General features: G+C 38.0%; 1 pseudogene; it reads left to right on the forward strand.

Moving 5' to 3' along the window:
• RPL6P3 (ribosomal protein L6 pseudogene 3) lies at positions 4,726-5,638 on the forward strand (annotated as a pseudogene).

The following is a 20,716-nucleotide window of genomic DNA, read 5'->3' on the forward strand; positions in this document are numbered from 1 at the left end:
TTATTTTAACTTATTCACCAATTTATCCTTTTTAGAGAGATTTAGGCTGGCAGGGCAGAAGAACAACAGTCCTTGGTCTGGCTGTCTCTCAGGTTCATTATTTTCTCAGAACAAAGTGTGGAAAATGATGGCACCATGCTGATGGTATCTTTTCATAAAATACTGCTAGTCATGTCAGCATTAGTGCCAGTATTTCAGGGTTATGAAAATAAATGTGACCAGTTTTGTCATCTTGTTCCAGTGTTGCAGCTACGAAACCTGACAGCTTGAAGTTCCAAACCAAGTACTGTGGCTTCTCTCCAGGCCTCTTGTGTCAAACCAGTCACCAAAGCTGTCAAAGCCAAACACGCATGGCCCTTACCAGAGCTCCCAATCCAACTGCCACAGGGTGAATCCTGCTCTACTGTGACATGTTCTTGCTCTGGCTGGGGGAAATTCAAATTCTGGCATTACTGTCCTCATTCTCAATTCTGGTTACTTTCCTAAGTTAAAGGGAGTTAAGGCTGGGCGCTGTGGTTCACACCTGTAATCCCAGCACTTCGGGAGGCCGAGGCAGGTTGATCCCCTGAGGTAAGGAGTTCGAGACCAGCCTGGCCTACATGATGAAACCCTAACTCTACTAAAATACAAAATTAGCCAGGCATGGTGGTGGGTGCCTGTAATCCCAGCTACTTGGGAGGCTGAGGCAGGAGAATCGCTTGAACCTGGGAGGTGGAAGTTGCAGTGAGCCAAGACCTCGCCCCGCACTCTGGCCTGGATAACAAGAGCAGAACTCATCTCCAAAAAAAAAAAATTAATAAATAAAGGGAGTTAAATATAGTGCAATAAATTTTTGCCAGAACAACCCTAATTTTCATCAGTAAGGGAGTGGTTAATTAAATTATGGTACATAATGCAGACACTGTAAGTCATTAAAAGAGTGAGTTCCATACCTGGTTGATCCTGAAATAAAAAAGAAATAAAGAAAAAAAAAGAGTGAGTTCCATTTACATGTACTGACATCAAAAGTCAAGATGGGTTGTTAAAGTGAAAAGGACAAGTCTATTGTAAATGGGGTAGTTTTCTTGATTTCTTTCTTAGATATTAGTGTATAGAAATGTCACTGATTTTGTATGTAAATTTTATATCCTGCAACTTGGTTGAATTTGTATATTAGTTTTAACTCATTTTTTTAGTGGAATCTTTGGAGCTTTCTATATATAAGACCATGTTATCTGCAAACAAGGATAATTTATGTAACTAAAACTCTATCACTGGTATCTGTCTGTCTTCTGTCTGGTTGGTTATCTCTATTTCTACTTCAAAATGAATAAAAAGAGGGCAGGAGAATTTATTGGACTGACTAACAGAAAAGCTTAAATGCACATAAAATGAATTTAGCACATAAATAGACATATTTAGCATCCAATTTTTTAGAAATGTAAAAATAAATTTGGAAGCAAAACATGAATGGAATGTAAAACACTTTTGGATGGGGGGAGCAGGCAGCCTGCCAATGCAATACCAGTGTAAAGCAAGCCAGCTGAGTTAGGAGGGGCCTCCAACAGAGTGAGGCAAACTGCCTGGCCCATTAGAAGGTGACTCTTCCCAACAGTGATGACATGCTCAGCGTTCTCCACCTTGACAATAGCAGAAGGTTTGTCATCTTTTGCTGACAGTCAGTTCATTACTGAGTCATATTCTATTAAATCCAGTGGTGCTCTCATACCTTTTTTTCCCTTCCTTTTATTAAGAGACAGTGAGAGTTCTTTCATCTCCGGCTGAGGAGAAATCAGAAGCAGGCAAGCGTGATCACTGTCCATTAGCAGCAGCATTTGCTGGCAGCAAGAGGGGGAAGGGGTCCTCTGTTCTCCTGAGCTGCTGCAGCCGTGGGCTTAAAGGACGTGCCCACATAACTTGATTGATCATCTCAGTCACAATTTTAAGATTTTAGCCTGGAAGTTCAATGTAGGTGCCATCATATGAAAGATTTAACAGATGTTAATATCCATAACGTTCATGTTCATTATATGTATTTGACTCTTAACTAGGTTTTCTAATTTTCCTTTTTAACGTATTCTAGATATTAATCTCTTGGTTTTTTTTAACTTTTAAGTTTAGGGGTAGAAGTGCAAGTTTGTTACATAGGTAAACTTGTGTCATGGAGGTTTGTTGTACAGATTATTTTATCACCCAGGTAATTTTCTTAATAACTGCCAAGAGCTCATTATTCTTTTTTTCTGATAATCTCCCTCTCTCTCTCTCTCTCTCTCTCTCTCCCCTCTTTTCCTCACCCCCAACCCTTACTATTTTAATATATACCCAACCTTTACTCTGTATTCCAGATGTTTATTCTGTAAATAATGGTTCTATGTACAACAAAGATAAGTTTTGCAACTTTACTCTGTAAATAATGGTTCTATGTACAACAAAGATAAGTTTTGCAACTTTACTCTTAGTATATTCTTACTTCCTAAAAATGAAGACAGAAAAAGTTTTAAATGCTATTATTATCACATGATGTGACTGTAATACCTGGAAATCCCAAGAGAAGTAACTCAAAAGCATTATAAACAAGAAAAAAAAATCAGTAAACTGGCTAGGTAAAAAGTTAGTGTAAAATAAAGTAGTAGCTTTCCAATATACAAACAACAATCAAATGATAAATATAATTTAACAAAAGATGTACATAACAGTGATTAAAATATTCTTAGGAATATATTTAACAATAAACATGCAAGATCTGTATTAAATAATTTTAATCCTGTATAAAATTTTAAAATCTTCATAATTTTGTTTTTTTAATTTAAAAAGGTAAAGTGAGAGTCTGGGTACGGTGGCTCATGCCTATAATCCCAGCACTTTGGGAGGCTGAGTCAAGGGGATCACCTGAGGTCAGGTGTTCAAGACCAGCCTGGTCGACATGGTGAAACCCCATCTCTACTAAAAATACAAAAATTAGCCCGGCATGGTGGCACAGGACTGTAGTCCCAGCTACTCAGAGGCTAAGGCAAGAGAATCACTTGAACCCGGGAGGCAGAGGTTACAGTGAGCTGAGATCGTGTCACTGCACTTCAGACATCAGAGCAAGACTCCGTCTCGAAATAAAATAAAAATGTAAACAGAGATAAACAAGACTTAAAAAGAACTTAATTGGGTTTTGATGCAGGAGTCTTAGTATTATTATATAATGACAAACATCCTCCCTAAACTAATATATACATTTTAAGTGATCACTAAAAATAAGAACAAACCTTTTAATGTAAGCTGTTTTAAAGTTCATAGGAGAATAATAATAATATTTATGATTTTCAGAAAAAAATATTCTAAAAAAGGGGGTACTAGTCCTCTCGAAAGTTAAACATATTATAAAGCAATAGTAGCCAAAATGTCTAGTGTATCAATAGATATAAAGACCAATCAACAGGCTGGACACAGTGGCTCACACCTGTAATCCCAGCACTTTGGGAGGCCTATGCAGGCAGATCACCTGAGGCCAGGAGTTCAAGACCAGCCTGGCCAACTAAAAATACAAAAAAAATTAGCTGGGCGTGGTGTTGCGTGTCTGTAATCCCAGCTATTGGGAAGTGCTGAGGCAGGAGGATCACTTGAGCCCCGCAGGCTGAGGCTGCAATGGGCCAAGATCGTGCAACTGCACTCCAGCCTGGGCAACAGAGTGAGACTCCATCGCCAAAAAAAAAAACAACCAATTAACAAAAGAGTCTAGACAGACGTACATGCATATAGGAAGGCAGATTATCAGAAATGGCCCCTTCAAATCAATGGGAAAGAAGAACTGTCAAGACCTAAATTGGATATTATTGAGGAACCATCTGGAGAAGGAAAATAATTCTAGATATCAACCTCATACATATCAAGAAATTCATCATTTCTTACATCAAAATGAATTTTAGCTGCATCAAAGATTTAAAAGTAAAATAAAAATTGGCTACTTAAAATGTTTAAATTCCTGCTAATAAACTCAGGAAAATAATTTTTATACCACATAAAACAGACAATGGGCTAATTTCTATGTTACATAAGGATCTACAAATACTTTTTGTAAGTTTTACAATCAAAATAGGTAAACAGGAAAATGGGCAAAAGCACGATAATCCATTCACAGAAAATACAAATAGTTTTAAAACAGAAAGATGTCAAACTTTTACCCACAATAGGAGAAATGCAAATTAAAACCACAAGATTCTTTTTTTTTCTCCTATCAGATTGGAAAAGAACAAAATATTTGATTAAAAGCAATCTTGGGGAGAATGTGGTGGGAAAGGCATTCCCCTTGGGAATACAGACTGGTACTATCCCAGGGAAGGGCCATTTTGGCAGTATCTATACACATTAAAATGCTCATACCAGGCCAGGCGTGGTGGCTCATGCCTGTAATCCCAGCACTTTGGGAGGCCGAGGCGGGCAGATTACCTGAGGTCAGGAGTTTGAGACCAGCCTGGCCAAGATGGTGAAACCCCGTCTCTACTGAAAATACAAAAATTAGCTGGGCATAGTTGTGGGCGCCTGTAATCCCAGCTACTCAGGAGGCTGAGGCAGGAGAATCGGTTGGAGGCAGAGGTTGCAGTGAGCCGAGATCATGTCATTGCACTCCAGCCTGGGCAACAAGAGCAAAACTCCATCACACACACACACACCCCTCTCTTTCCCATCTTACAAGACAGCAGATGAAACAATTGAGAAGCCAGACACACACACACACACACACACACACACACACACACAAACTCTCTTTCCCATCTTACAAGACAGCAGGTGAAACAATTGAGAAGCCAGATACCAAAGAGAAGAAACCCAAAGCCAAGAAGGCTGATGCTGGTGGTGAAAAAGGGTCACCTCAAGACTAAAAAGCCCAAGAAGGGGAAGCCCCATTGCAGTGCAATCCTGTCCTTGTCAGAGGAATTGGCAGGTATTCCTGACCTGCCGTGTATTCCAGAAAGGCCACGTATAAGAGGAAGTACTCAGCCGCTAAATCCAAGGTTGAAAAGAAAAAGAAGGAGAAGGTTTTTGCAACTGTTACAAAACCAGTTGGTGGTGACAAGAACGGTGGTACCCGGGTGGTTAAACTTCGCAAAATGCCTAGATATTATCCTACTGAAGATGTGCCTGGAAAGCTGCTGAGCCATGGCAACAAACCCTTCAGTCAGCACGTGAGAAAACTGCGAGCCAGCATTACCCCGGGGACCATTCTGATCCTCCTCACTGGAGGCCACAGGGGCAAGAGGGTGGTTTTCCTGAAGCAGCTGGCTAGTGGCTTATTACTTGTGACTGGACCTCTGGCCCTCAATCGAGTTCCTCTATGAAGAAAATACCAGAAATTTGTCATTGCGACTTCAACCAAAATTGATATCAGCAATGTAAAAATCCCAGAACATCTTAGTGATGCTTACTTCAAGAAGAAGCTGTGGAAGTTCAGACCAGGAAGGTGAGATCTTCAACACAGAAAAAGAGAAATACAAGATTACAGAGCAGTGCAAGATTGATCAGAAAGCTGTGGACTCACACATTTTACGAAAAACCAAAGCTATTCCTCAGCATCAGGTCTACCTGCCATCTGTGTTTGCCCGGACAAATGGAATTTATCCTCACAAATTGGCATTCTAAATGCCTTAAGAACCTAATTAAATAGCTGACTACAAAAAAACAAACAAAAACAGGCAAACAAACAAAAAAACACTCATACCTTTGACCCATCAATTTCTCTTCTAGGTTTCCATTCCTAAATCATATTTCCACAAAGAAAATAGAAGTACACAGAAAATCACTGGATTATTGTTTTTTATAGCCAAGGGCTGAAAATAATCTAAATGTCTTTCAGTAGGAGACTAGACAAATCAACGATGATACATTCATCTGGTGGAATACTGTGTAACTTAGAATAAAGCATACCTCCTTCTGACCTAACTGACCTGAGATGAAGAGCAAACCATATTATGTTAAGTGGTTATTGGTGATGGTGTGGCATTTTAAGGCAAGATGTGGAACAATTTGTATGGCATACTAGCATTTCTGTAAAAAAAAAAAAAAATTCAGACATACCGATGGTAAGAAAGTGGCAATGACAATTAACTGTGGATGGTGACACTGGTAGATGAGGGAATGGGAATGGGTTTAGGAGAGCAGAGTGCTTTCCAATGAAACCCCTTAGCTGTGTGTGCATTTTCTATCTTGTGCACATACTTCTTATAAATGAAAATAAATTTAATTCATTAAAAGTTAACGAAACTTTGTGAAATAACATATGGTATTTTTCAGTCCATCCTTGTAAATGTGCCCTTCCTACTGTATGTACTCAGTTTTTATAGGTATTAAATCAAAAGCCAGCAGAAAACATATTCATTTGGAAGTTCTTTATAATATAACTTGGCATGTCTAAGATGCGTTCCCATTGATTTTTAAAAATTTTACCTTGTCTTCAATGCAAACGTAAATCTTTTATGCATTTATTTCGATTGATGTAAAAATAACTTCTTTGTATAGCATAGGCTTTCATATATGATATGACGTAGCTGCCCTACTTATGAAAGGGCACCCAGAAGCCAAGATCCCCGCTGGCAGATGCACCTTTGTAATAATAATAATAGTACCTTGCTTTTTATAGTGTTTTGCATGTGGGCTGTCATTTAATCTTGATCATTTTTTTCCAGCTCTAAATTATAAGCACCTCTGTCTATATGTAAAGAACCGTTTTTCGCAATTCTTTATGTTTTCATAGATAAGAGAATTGCAGTCTTGGTATTGGCCCACCCTTCCTCCTTCCCTCCTTCCTTCTTTCCCTCCTCTTCATCCCTCCCTCTGTAGATATGTCTGCTTTTGAGTGATAAACATGATTTTAAGAATAAGCCTCAGAGAAGAACCACCTTTCAATGTCTGCTTGTAAGCCAGCGTGGTTATTTCCTACAGATCACCTCACTGGAATTAAAACAATGGATTTTTTTCAGTTTGGGAATTGTTTTTCACCCAGTTATCTGTGCAGGAACCCTACAGAATGGGAGGCAGGTTAGCCCCATCTCCTGGTTTTTCAGAGCAAAGAGGAAAAGGGAGAAAAAGCCACTATTGTCTGCTGTTTCTTGTCACCTACTTTTTGTTTGTTTGTTTGTTTTTTTATGGAGTCTCGCTCTGTCACCCAGGCTGGAGTGCAGTGGCACAATCTCGGCTCACTGCAACCTCCACTTCCCAGGTTCAAGTGATTCTCCTGCCTCAGCCTCCCGAGTAGCTGGGACTACAGGCGCCCGCCACCACGCCCTGCTAATTGTTTGTATTTTTAGTGGAGACAGGGTTTCACCATGTTGGCCAGGATGGTCTCGATCTCTTAACCTTGTGATCCATCTGCCTTGGCCACCCAAAGTGTTGGGATTACAGGTGTGAGCCACCGCGCCCAGCCTCTTGTCACCTACTTCTTATTTAATGACACTAAATGTGTATTTTGAGTAGAAGCTGGACCTTTTTTATTTCTATTTTAGTTTTCTCTTTCTTCTAAGTTAAATTTTTAAAACATTTTAAACTGTTTTATTTGGATTTTCTGCTTTCATTTTTTTTCCACTAAAAACAGCTTTGTTGCTTTGAATCCTCTTTATATAACTTATTGTCTTTGAAAATAGCCTTTTCTTTTTGTCCAGATTCTTCTTTCTATAGCATTTCTAGACATCTAATTTAAATAGAAATTAGTTATTTTCTGTAAGGCTTTTTTTCAGCCAGTTTCTTCCCATTCAGAGAGGAAAAAAATAGGAGATTTAGGAAAGCATGCCAGTTTCTTTCAAGCAAGTGTTGGCCTCTAGTGGATCAAAAGTGCTACACACTTTCTGTCTACTTTGGCATTCCGTGAAGAACTCTATATTTTGGGGAAACAATAAAACAGATTGCTAGTACTGAAGAAAAAAAGGAAAATACACTTCCTTTTGACAAATAGCATAAATTAATTGATAAAAATGACAAAATAGCATTAACAGAATTTGCTACCTGATAAATTTAAAACTTAGAAGTGTAAAAATACATCATAAATAAAATTCTAAGTCAAATAACAAACTGGAAAACACTTCTAATAAATATGACCTACAGATAGCAAAACACTTTTAATAAATTAAGAGTTTTTACAAATCAACAAACTATAAGAATGGATAAGCTTTTGCATGGTTTCCACTTATAAGATCAACTTACAAAAGCCATAGCATTTCTCTGTAGCAGCAATAATCAACTAGAAAAATTTAAAAGGAGATACAATCTACGGAAATAAAACAATAAAATATATGGGGACTAACTGAACCAGAATATACAATATCTCTGGGGTGGGGGAAGCTTCTAAATGCCAGTAAAGGACACAGATGATTATATAAATATATGGTTTAAAACAGGCTGATTTAATTTTCCAAGATGTCAAAGTTTTTTGAGTTAGACTTAATTCACCTAAATCCAATTAAATCTCATTCAAACGTCCAGTTTTCTTTTAGATAAACTAAATAAATTTATTCTAAAATTTATCTGGAAGAATAAATGTCCATAGATAGGTCAACCCTTTAAAAAGAAGAGTATAAAAACAGGACGTGTCCTGTCAGATACTAAGACATAGAACAATGTCAATAATAAAAAGTATGAATTGTGAAGAACAAATAACTAGACCAATGAAACAGAAGAGAGAGTTTAGAAACAGATCCATACACTCATGGGAACTTATACATAATAAAAATAGCACCACTAATCAATGAAGAAAAGACATAGATTTTAAAACAGACAATGTTAGTGAAACTTATTCACGTATGGAAAAAAATAAAACTAGATTTCTACCTAACACCAAATAACAAAGGTGAACTTCAACAGACCAAAAACCTAAATGTAAAAGGGAAGAAACTATAAAAATTAATGGAAGGTAACATAACAGAGTATACTGGTGATCTAGGGTGGGAAAAGACTTCTTAAACAAAATTTGCAAAGCACAAATCATAAGGCAAACAATAAATGTATTTACATCAAACTTGGAGATTTCTATACAATACAGGAATAATCAGCAAATTTAGCAGACACATGACAGAATAGGAGAAGACATCTCAAGGTCTAAAATTGATCTGCATCTAATATCTAGAATAGTTTTCTCCAATGGAACTTTCTGCAATAATGAATATGTTCTAAATCTACACAGTCCAATATGGTAGCCACTAACCACATGTGGCTATTGAGCACTAAATGAAAATAAGAAGAATTAAATGTAATACACAGTACCATTTGATTTATATAAATTGAAAATGCATGTTTACAATAACACACACTTAACAAGAACTCGTATAACTGAAAGAGTATTCACTGAACACACTAGGAAGCTTGGAAGCTTGCATTTGTGTGTCGTGGGGCAGCGGGAGAGGAAAATGGGAATCAGGAATCAGGATAAAAGGGAATGATGCTGATAATTTCCATGAAAAGAGGATATTATTTAACTCAATCCTCTGTAGCTGAGGTCTAACAAAAATGAAAAGAAAGAAAAGCCTTAAGAATCTAATAGAAAAAAAAGAACAGAATATAAAGAATTAACATACAAAATAGATGTAAATAAGAAAAAAAACACAAGAAAGTCAATGTTCAACTTCTTATTATCCAAAGAAACAAAATGGAAAAGAAGAGTAAATAACATTTTCACCCATCATATAGTAAAAAAAAAAAAATTAGTAAAAATATCGTTCATTTTTGGGAGAATTTTCAAAGAAGCAGGCCTAAGAGCCGGTATTTAAATTGACAAGACCTTCCTGGAGGGCGATCTGTTAGTGTATATCAAGAACATTAAAGATAAAAACAATCAAAGCTTTTAACTCTGCAATTCCTCTTCAAGGAATTAATCCTAAGTAGATTATTGGATAAGAAAATAAAGATATAAGTATGCCTACCATTAACAATAAAAGATAAATACAAGCCGAACACCCAATAATAGGTGCAGTGTTAAATCATTATGAGTCATTCATAATGAAGGAATATATAATAGGACATGTTCAAAGAACATGTACTGCACAGGAAAACACTCAGGAAATACTGACATATGAGAAAATATGCAACATTTTATTTATGTCTATTATAAAGCCAAGTTTTTTTAAATATGCGTACACACACAGGCATTAAAAACAGTGCCAGGAAATACAGAAGATGTTAATAGTAGTGATTTCTGGATATAACAGTAGGATTACTGGAGATTTTTGTTTTCTTCTTGATACATTTCTGTATTTTCCTGTGGTCACTATCAAAAAAATGTGTTTCTATTATAATTAGAAGATACACATTGATTTAGGAGGCATGGAGGCATCTTAATTTGCAGTAAGTGGGTAATTCGAGAAAGAAGGACATGACCTTTAGTCTAAGCAAAAATACTACCTAAGGATGACAAAGTAATTCCTAGCATCAGTAGGAGCCAGACCTTCAAAAAATACACAGGAGAAAAAGAAAGGTGGGCAGGACCCGTGGTCCATGAGGACTCCCACTGCTACAGCGAGATCTTTCAATGGGGCTGCAATGTGCCAGGAAAACCTAAGCCATAGATGGTCTGCGTTCTGCTCACGTTCACTCTCAAAAGGTCACCTAAACTGAGGATTTTTTGATGAATAGAGCCAGTGCCCTTTTCAAGAATAAAGGTGCTTTATATATAACTACAATTTCTACCCAAAACAAGATTTCTAAGTAGTTCTGATCATTTCTAGAAAGCTGTATAGCAGCATTTCACCAGTATGAGTTACACATACCTGAAGGTTACCTGAAGGTTTGAAAAAGTCATTATAATAGTTGCAGAGTTACTGAAGATTGGCTTATAAAGATAAAATGGCAATGAGATTAAGGGACTTATATCTGAGTTACGCAAGCCCAGAAATGCTTTTGCCAAAAAGGATTTACGGAATTTCACACTGCCTTACAGGAATTTTGACGTGGAAAACCTAAGTTTATGCCTAAGGGAGACAGATACACAGTGGAATGCAGCGGGTTCACTGTGACTAAGACATTTCTTGACCCAAGCCTCTGTAGCTGATGATCTGGTCTCCAGTGAGCAGAAATATCTCAGCCTAGAGAGACCAGCTGTAGGTGGTGTGTGTAGAAAAGAAATACATCTCCTAAACAACTCTTGATAGTTAATGAGCTCAAATTTTCATTTTGGAAGAGTAATTGGATTTATCAGCAGTAGTAGTGGACAAAGGTCCTACCAACAAGGATACTGGACATCATAAAGGTACTCATAAAACAGTAGTGGAGGCCAGACATGGTGGCTCAGGTCTGTAATCCCAGCATTTTGGGAGGCTGAGATGGGAGGATCACTTGAGGCCAGGAGTTCGATACTAGCCTGGTCAACATAGCCAGTACCCCATCTCTTTGAATTTTTCACTTAAAAAAAAAATAAAAGAACACTGAGCATCTCTTAGATGGAAAAGGGAGATTCCAGAAAGTAGGGGAGGGAACAGCAAGGAAGACTAGAGGGCACCAGTGTGAGAACAAGTCAGCTACCCATCCTAGTCTTGTGATAAAACTTGATCATAAAAAATAGTAGAATAAATGAGATTTGCTTCTAGTTTCATTTTAAAAAAGAAAAAAAAACAATAGAATAGAAATTAAAAATACATATCACTTTATTATAGACTGAGACACAAAGATTTATGAAAACCTATATATTTCATAAAATTATATATTTTTTAGTTTATGAACACAAAGCAGAGTAAAAGTGAGCTCTATTACAACCTGGTAAGATTTTTTGAAAGCTAAATGAAACAAATGTTTAGAAAACAAATTTTTATTAATATAGGGAGATGATTCATAATGAAACAGCTCAAAAAAGCAGAAGAATGTTGCTCAAAGTTCAGAGGAAAAGACAGTGGGAACTTTAGAGCTATGAGTCCCTCTGTTTGCAAATGTGGAGCAAAAACTCTGGCGCAAAATGGCACCCTTGGATGTCATGACTGCCCACAAAGCTGGAGGCCCAGGACCTGTAAAGCAAGATCACGTCCAGTGACATTCAGTTTTGTCGAGTAAGACCTACTTCATCCTTGTGATCACTCACTCTATAACTGTCTAATAAACACTTTCCATGAAGCGGGCCCTTTGCAAGGTTTAACAAGATCACCGTTTCCCAGTGCTCTGATGTTGGAATTTGCCACAAGTGTAAGAAAGGTGTTTTTGGGGTGTGAAAAAAGCCTTTTCCAATGCCCGCTTCCATACTGGGTCTCCCTTCCTGCCGAAGCAGATTTAATTGTTTTCATAGTACTATGTTCCCATTTCTGTTGTGATACCCTTTTATTTCATAGTAAGCTGTTTGGTGCTTCGGGTCTATCTCCCCTCTAAGCTGAGCTCCTCGGGCAAAAGGACAACGTTCATCCTTGTATCTGTAGATCTTAGGGGGTGTCTTGCACATTGTAAGCACTCTGTAACCATTTGGCAATATTCAGCTCTGCCTATAGGCCTGTGGCTCTTCAAGCCTCAGTTTCCTGATGAGTGAAGTGGATCTGACAATACCTCCTGCTTCACAGAGTTATAATGAGAATCAAGCAAGAGTCCTGTGGCAGCCCTTGGCACAGGCAGGTACTTGTGGCGACACAGGTCTTCTGGGCATTCAGCCCTTCCTCTCCTGGTAAAAGCACTTTGTTTTCTTTTGGGAAATCCCCTTTTTGCTATTCTTATGCCATGTGGTTTCAGTGTGCTGAAGTCTACCTGCCCCTTCCCCAGCCCTGTTTTCCAGGGTTGAGTATGTGCAAAGCCAGGTCAATTACAGCCGGTGAACATTTGCTCAGGGCCTTCTCCTGAAACAACTGGGAAAAGGTTCTCTGGAGTCATAGGGTAACTTAGATATTAAGCTTTGAGCTGCAAATTTGCCCACATAAATAGCCTGCCTGTGAACACTCTAAGGTTTCCTAAGATGCCATTAATTACAAGATATACCATTATTTTCTACACTTCTAACGATAAAGAAATGTAATAAGAAATTGTACATTGCATTTTGATTTCAGACATGTGAAAAAGAAAAACATGCATTTTAAAATTGACGAGATATGGTAAAACCAGCACAGAAGAAAAAGAGATGAAGAGACGCCAGTCCTAATGATATTGTTTGATCCCTCAAGTCCATCTGAGCCTAAATTCTTGAGTTATTCCCGCACTTTCCAGGAACAAGAGAGTGTATTTGTTTGTTAGGGCTGCTGTAACAACCATAAACTGATTGGCTTAAACAACTGGAATGTATTGCTTCACAGTTCTGGAGGCTAGAAGTCCCAGGTCAAGGTGCAGGGTTTGTTTCTCCCGAGGGCTGTGAGGAAAGGATCTGTTCAACGCTTCTCTCCCTGGCTTGTAAATGGTTGTCTTCTCCCTACGTTATTTCACAGCTTCCCTCCATGTGTATCTTTGCCCAAATTTTTCCTTCTCATAAAAACATCAGTCAAATTGGATTAGCTCCTCACCCCCAACCCTCCAGTAATGACCTTATTTTAACTTGATTACCTCTGCAAAGACCCTATCTCCAAATAAGGTCACATTCTGAGGTATTGGGGTCGTTATAGAACCTGTAACAGAAGGAATGCATTCCCTTCATACAAAAACCAAGTTGAGGTGGGTTTCTGTCATTTACCACCAAGACTTCTGCTCAGTAAAATTTAATTTCCTTTCCTTAGGTAACTAAAAGTTCTTTAAAATCCCAGCAAGTTTTCAGAAATGAATGATAATATGCATGAGCAAAATTTTAATTTAATCAGTTCCGTTCCTTCTGAGTCATTCTTGAGGGAGACCAGAGGTTCAGGACGAGATACCGTAGGATGAGACCCGGGCTCTAATTTTGATTCTTCCGTTACAAATGAAGTTGGCCAAATCAATTAAAAAAAGAACAGCAATTTCATTTTAAAGGAAAGTAGCATGAGACTGTGAAGAGGACATTAATCTAAGGATGAAAATATCTCCTTTAGATAAAAGATTCTGACTCCACCACTTGTTCTGTGATATTAGGTGAGCCACTGAATGATCCAGGCCTCGTCTTCTGAAGACCAAATGGAAATGCATGTGAAAGCTCTTGACAAACTATACATCGTGTCCATGACTACGTTTTGGGGGCTTTTTCTCACTTCACTGTTGAGTGTCGCAGTCCAGACACTAGACTCTATACAATTTAAATGGATTATCTCATGTAATCTTCACGATCTTATGAAGCAGTTCAATTAGCTCTATTGTTCCTCCCAGTTTTCAAATAAGGAAAATGGAAAATTATTTATTTATTTTCATTTTATTCTGTTGATCAAATTATTGGGTCAATGTGCAATGGCTCACTTAGACTAGTGCAGTCTTGGTTTAAGTCATTTCAGAGGTTACATTATGCTCCGCGGTCACCCCAATCAAATAAAGAGATGGGGAACTTTTTCTAAAGTCAGCAAATTAACAGCTAATACATTACACAGCCCAGATTTGAATTCAAGCAAGGTAGGCTAGACATTAAGCTCTTAACTGAGCTGGTATAAAAGGGATAATGGAAGCTATCTATGGAGATATACTGATAGATGTATATATAGATATACAAAAGACCAATGGAAAAACTGGCCACAGATGTTTGTTAAAAATACTTATTAGATTTTAAATGACGGAATTAAAGCATGTGTTTATCCTCTGCTTCTGAAAATAGAACTGCTGGCTGAGTAAGTCCCCTGGAGGCTGAAAGACCAATAAGTGGACAGAAATTCATTACTCTTTTATTCTGAGACCAGCTGCTTCATGCGGAATCTGGCACTTACCATACAAGGACCACTCTTAGCTTTATAATCAATGTGACGCCTTTGTTTAGCTGAGCCTCTCCATCTTGTATTTCTCCTCACTAAGCATTCTGTTGCTGGCTGTAATTCTCACTGTGTTGATGTATTGATGTCTATTTCATTGTTCCAGGTTATATTTCACTGAGTTTTCAATAGAAATGTCCCTTTTTGCTACCTAGTGAGTGGGTGTCCTTCAGCAGCTTACCACTTTGGAACTATTATTCTGATATCCCATTGCAAGTCACACTTTGTCATTAAAGTCAAAAGAGCAATATCCATTTCACTCCTATGACTAAGTCCCAAGTTCACCAAGAAAGTGGGTAGCATTCTCTGAACTTTTTGTATTTTTAATTTTTTTAAAAAAACAAAAGCAAAAAGTTGAAGCATGGAGATAAGCAAAAAGTTGAAGCATGGAGATAAGCAAATTCACTTGGGCCATGAGAAAGTCGTGGTAACACTGAAAATCATGAGAGAAGCAAGTGCTGCTCCAACGGTAAGAAGAGAAGCTTCCTCAGTCTGAACCACTGGGCCCAGGATGTATGACTTATTAAAGATCTCATACAAGAATGAAGAGTTAGCCTGGCTGTGATTGCAGAGGCCCTCTCCCACTCATTCACCTTGAGCTCACCTGGGAGTAGCTTTGAAGGCCAAGGTCAGAAAAATGTATCTTTGGATCCAAACATTCTCAGGATTGTGCCTATTGTCTTTTTGATTCCACAACTCCATGACAGCCTGCTACCAGCTGGAACTATGTATTCCTCCTCCTCTCTGGATCTTTGCTATTCACTGGGTACATTCTTCCCACTATGTGTCATAGTGAAGAATATAGCCATTTGGAGTCAGACAGATACTAGCTTGAATCACATCACATAACAGCTTTAGGTCTATGACACTATTACCTGCTTCTCTCTGCTTCCGCTTTTTTCTTCTGTAAATGAGGGTAGCAATAGTTATCTTCCAGAGCTATTACGAGGATTACATGAGGTAGCACATGCAAAACATGGTAGATTATAAAAAAAGTTGTTCCTTTTCTTTCTTTTTCCCAAATCATCCAAAGGGGATTTAGTCAATTGGTAACTCTGAAAATGTTAACATAATATCTATCTCTCCACAGATAAATACATATGCTAGCTATCCAAAGGTAAGTTAAAAGCAGATTCCACAGCCAAACTACACAGGGTTCAAATCCCTTTGTACTTCAGCTGTCGCACTTGTAAAATGGGGATAACAAATGTGCCATCCTCATAGCATCGTTAGGAGTGGTAAACAAATTAAGGATGTAAATATATACAACTAACCTGAAAAATACTAATTGTTCCCTAAGTATTATAATTCAAGACTCTAATAGTAACACTTATTATTTAGATAGATAGGTACTGTCGATGCTAATATATCAATCACCTCCAAGAAAGCTTTGCCAAAGACCTATGCCAGTTTCCCTAAAATGTATATTTTGGAGCCAGAGATAATATTTTTTAGAAGTGTCATTCTGCAAAAATGCATTTCATAGTTTTTTTTTTTTTTGGTGAAGGACAAAAACAGAGGCTATTTAAAATCGTTTTCCCTCTGCAGTAGGGAATGAGGACAGCATTTACTCTTTCTGCATTCTCTGTCCTAGATTATTCAAATAATACTCATCCTGATAACTTTGGAGTTGTTTAATTTCACTGTAAAACAGCTTTGAAAACAGCTATATTGCCCAAACATCTAAGTTCTAAAAACATCAGTGTCTCTTTTAGATCCAGGCTGTTAGCTAATTTCAATATTCATTTGTCTATTCAACCAGAAGTTTACTGGAGTTTACTATGTGCCAGACAATGTTATAGGAGATAGGTAAAAATCCCTGCTCTTATAGAGCTTTCATTATAGTGAGGTGAGAGATGCTCAATTAACAAATAGATAACTAGAATATGTAATTTGTCCAATTGTATGTATCATGGAGAAAAATAAATCAGGGAAAGGAAAATTAGGTATCCCAAAGTAGGGCTAGGAATTGCAATTTTAAATAGCATAATTGGAGAATATCTCACTGAGAAGAAACCTATGTGTATTACTGAGCGAAGTAAAGGACCAAGCTACGGGGCTATCTGTTGGAAGAGCATTCTGGGAAGAAGGAACAGCGTATGCAAAGCCCTAGAGGTGGGAGTGTACCTGGCATATTCAAAGAATGGCACGGAGGCTAGATGGCTAAAGTAGAGTGGGCAAGAGCAAGAAGAGTGGGAGTTGAAGTCACATGCACATGAAGTTACAAGAATGTTCACAGAAGCAGTAGTAATAGAATCTTGAAACCACTCAGATATCTATCAATAGTGGAATGAATAAATTATAATGTACTTACATAATGGAATTCTACATTGAAATACAAACAAAAAACAAACTATAGGTGCTCTCGATAATACAGATGAATCTCACAAACATGATGTTGAGTAAAAGAGGCCAAATGCTAAAGGATAAAAACTGCATCATTTCTTTTATATACATTTCACAAACGAGGCAACACTTGCAGTAAAAAGGCAGATTAGTAGTTAGGACAGAGATATCTGATTGGAAACGAGCTACGAAGTGTCTTCTGGGAGGGACCAAGTAGAAGCAATATATGTTCATTTTGTGATAATTTGCTTAGGATTTATGCTTTCTGTATGTATGTTTTACATATATAATATAATGTAATAGTAATACAATATTACTATTTATAATAGTAAATGGAGGAATTTGAGACAGGAAGTACAGGATTTTTTTTTTCAAAAAGTTTTACGATAACAGGAGCAGAGAAATGAGGGGAATACTGAAGGGTTATTTTAAAGATGGAAGAAATGACTGTTACGGAAAGCTCACTTACTCATATTTACCATTGCTGCAAAACACCTGTTCTATTGTTTACTTAATCGATTTTCAACTTAAATTTACTTAAAAAGCAAGTTTCATGTTAACACTGTGTCACTTGCCATAATAGAAATAACCGTAAAAATACAATGGACACAAAGTCATTCGATTAAAATAATTTAAAAATGTAAAAATAATTGAATGCAATCAAAATCAATCAAATTGAGCTGCAAAAATGAGCGCCTAAAAATAAGTTACTTAAACAGAAAACCAGAGCCGTTGATGATCAGTCAGAAGAAAAAGGATATTCTGTTCCATATATATGTAATAGTCACCAGCACTGTGCACAATTCCTTCATCTTCACCTTTACACTGCATACATACTGTTTTGAACACCTATCCACATTCATTTTAACAGAGGAGCAAAATAAAAACCTAGTCCCATATGAGGTGACAAGACGATGCTGACTTGCCCAACACTTGAGGTTGTCCCTTGTTCCCATGTCTCTGATTTGGAGGGAAGTTGAGCTTTAGAAAAAGCTTCCTAATGCTGCTGACTAAAAAGAACCCCCACTCCTATGTCTCTTCTTAGAAATTACTGGTGTATGCATCAGTGTGTGTGTGTGTGTGTGTGTGTGTGTGTGTGTGCATGTGTGTGTGTGGTGGGGAAGGTGCTGCTCAGCTGTGGTTCTAGCAACCCTGCCTGAAACCAGGCAAAGGCAGGAGGCCATCTAGAGGGCACCCACAACTCTCACTAGGCCCCAAGTCATTGGCTAAGTTCCACACTGTAGAAAACACTGCCCTATAACAATGGAGACAGTATCTTCCAAATTAAAAATCAGGCAACCTGATATTTCAACAAGATACAGTATTTAAAGATAAGAGCTGGCCGGGCACGGTGGCTCACGCCTGTAATCCCAGCACTCTGGGAGGCTGAGGCGGGCGGATCACCTGAGGTTGGGAGTTCGAGACCAGCCTGACCAACATGGAGAAACCCCGTCTCTACTTAAAATACAAAATTAGCCAGGCGTGGTGGCGCATGCCTGTAATCCCAGCTACTTGGGAGGCTGAGGCAGGAGAATCGCTTGAACCCAGGAGGCAGAGGTTGCAGTGAGCCGAGATCGCACCATTGCACTCCAGCCTGGGCAACAGGAGCGAAACTCTGTCTTAAAAAAAAATAAAAATAAAAATAAAAAATAAAAAAATAAAGATAAGAGCAGCCCAGAAAACCCATAATAATAGTGCCATACCTAGGACATTCATGTATTAGTCCACACATTTGAAATGTTTAAAATCAACACTAGTGCTACTGGGATGTGAAAATTCATAGACATAATCCCTGCCCTCAAAGTAAGGTTGCCAGATAAAATTACAGAATGCCAAGATAAATTTAAATTTCAGATAAACAGGGATTTCTTTTAGTATATGTCTCAAATATTGCATTAGATATATTAAAAATTTATCTGTTGTTCATCTGAAATTCAAATTTCTGGGTGTCCTACGTTATTATTTGCTAAATCTGGCAACCCTACCTCAAAAGGTTTTCAGTCTATTGAAGGGCAAAGACAATTCAAACACAATGAGAATATGAGAAGTGTCAGGACCAAAGAGCCATCACAGAATGCTTGTGCATATCAAACAAATATCTAACTTAGGGAAGACATTTGGAAACTGGTAACATTGGAACTGAGTCTTAAGCTGGAAACATATGGGATATACCATTTATTTCAGCATTTAATAACATGCCATCATGATTTGTGACTTAACTGTCTCATAAACATGTGTTTTGTCTACAGAACTAGATCTTAAGTTCCTTGAAGACACAGGACATCTCTTTATGCCTCCATGCCACCTGGAACTGACAGGCACACTTAAGGCAGTAGTAAATTACTGCACACATTGATGCAAATGGTTTTGTCCTCCCAAAGAGTAAAAATATTCTGTTAGTGAAATGTATTGTAACTAGTGTTTTCTTTTCCAATTTTAGTCTTTGAACACTGCAGCCAAGAATACAGTTTGAAACCTTGGGAGTCAAATTCACAGTAAATACATGAGCCGTTCACAGTGCAGCAAACTCTCATGTTAGTTTTATGACAGATCCAGTGACACTGGAATGGACACCTTTTTGATTTTGGGGTTCCTTCCTAAGACCCCCATGTGTGATATATTCATGGTTGGATTCTAGGTACTGAAGCAGTTACTACAGCTGGATAGTCCAATGAGTGTAAGAAGGCTTCTCTACAAACACATGCTGCCCACATCGAAGTTCCTCTTTAATCTACTGCAGTTTGAAATTGTCCCCCACTTTCTCCAAGAGTCCACTCCAAGCTAGTTTAGGGTTAGGTCTACCATAGCCTTTGGAAGAGGGAGGGAAGATAACTTTTCTCATCTCTCCTAGTCCCAGCTCTAAAGACCAGAACCAGGGAGAAAGCAACACAGCTTTTCCAAACACATTCCCCAAATGTGGCACCTTTTCAACAATTTTAGTAACAAATTTAAGGCATCATAGATGCCTTTAAAATTGGCATGATAGATGTTAGAGTGATCATAAAAAGACTTTAAAAGAGGAAAAGATGTAAAGAACGTAATCAAATGGGGAGCATGTTTAACAATGTGCTCACTTCTTCCCCTTCAATTCCTTGAATTGAGTCTGCATTATCATTCCTATTGATCTTTGAGCCCAGAACATTACTTTGTGGTCTGGCCTAAGGTTTCTTCCAATTTTTTAAATTACAATATCCCTAAGAGGACAGCGACGAGGTCTGGGGTGTTATGAGGATTGGAAACCTAGCCACAAGTGACCATGAAAGTCCAAAATGCCTCTAAAGTCTTTGTCTCTAAGGCCCATTTTCAAGGTCTTGTTATATAGCTAATTTTTCCCCGACTTATGTCAAAAATAAACGAAGCTGGGTTCTAGGTAAAATGGTAGGGGCAGATTTTAATCACTACTACTACTGCAATGGGGAAAAGAACCCAGCGTGAACTGAATTCAATTTCGATTTGTAGAGGCAACCGGGCGTTTTAAAGAGAATGAAGGAATTAGGATGGGACTGATGACGCCGAGGGGGACTGAGCAACTTTTTCAGGTTTGAAAAGCCTCAACATCAACGCGCGACGGCGCTCTTTCAACATCAGCCTCCAGAACTGGGGCTGCAGCC

Source organism: Homo sapiens, chromosome 1, assembly GCF_000001405.40.
Source record: "Homo sapiens chromosome 1, GRCh38.p14 Primary Assembly".
NCBI classification, from domain to species: domain Eukaryota; kingdom Metazoa; phylum Chordata; class Mammalia; order Primates; family Hominidae; genus Homo; species Homo sapiens.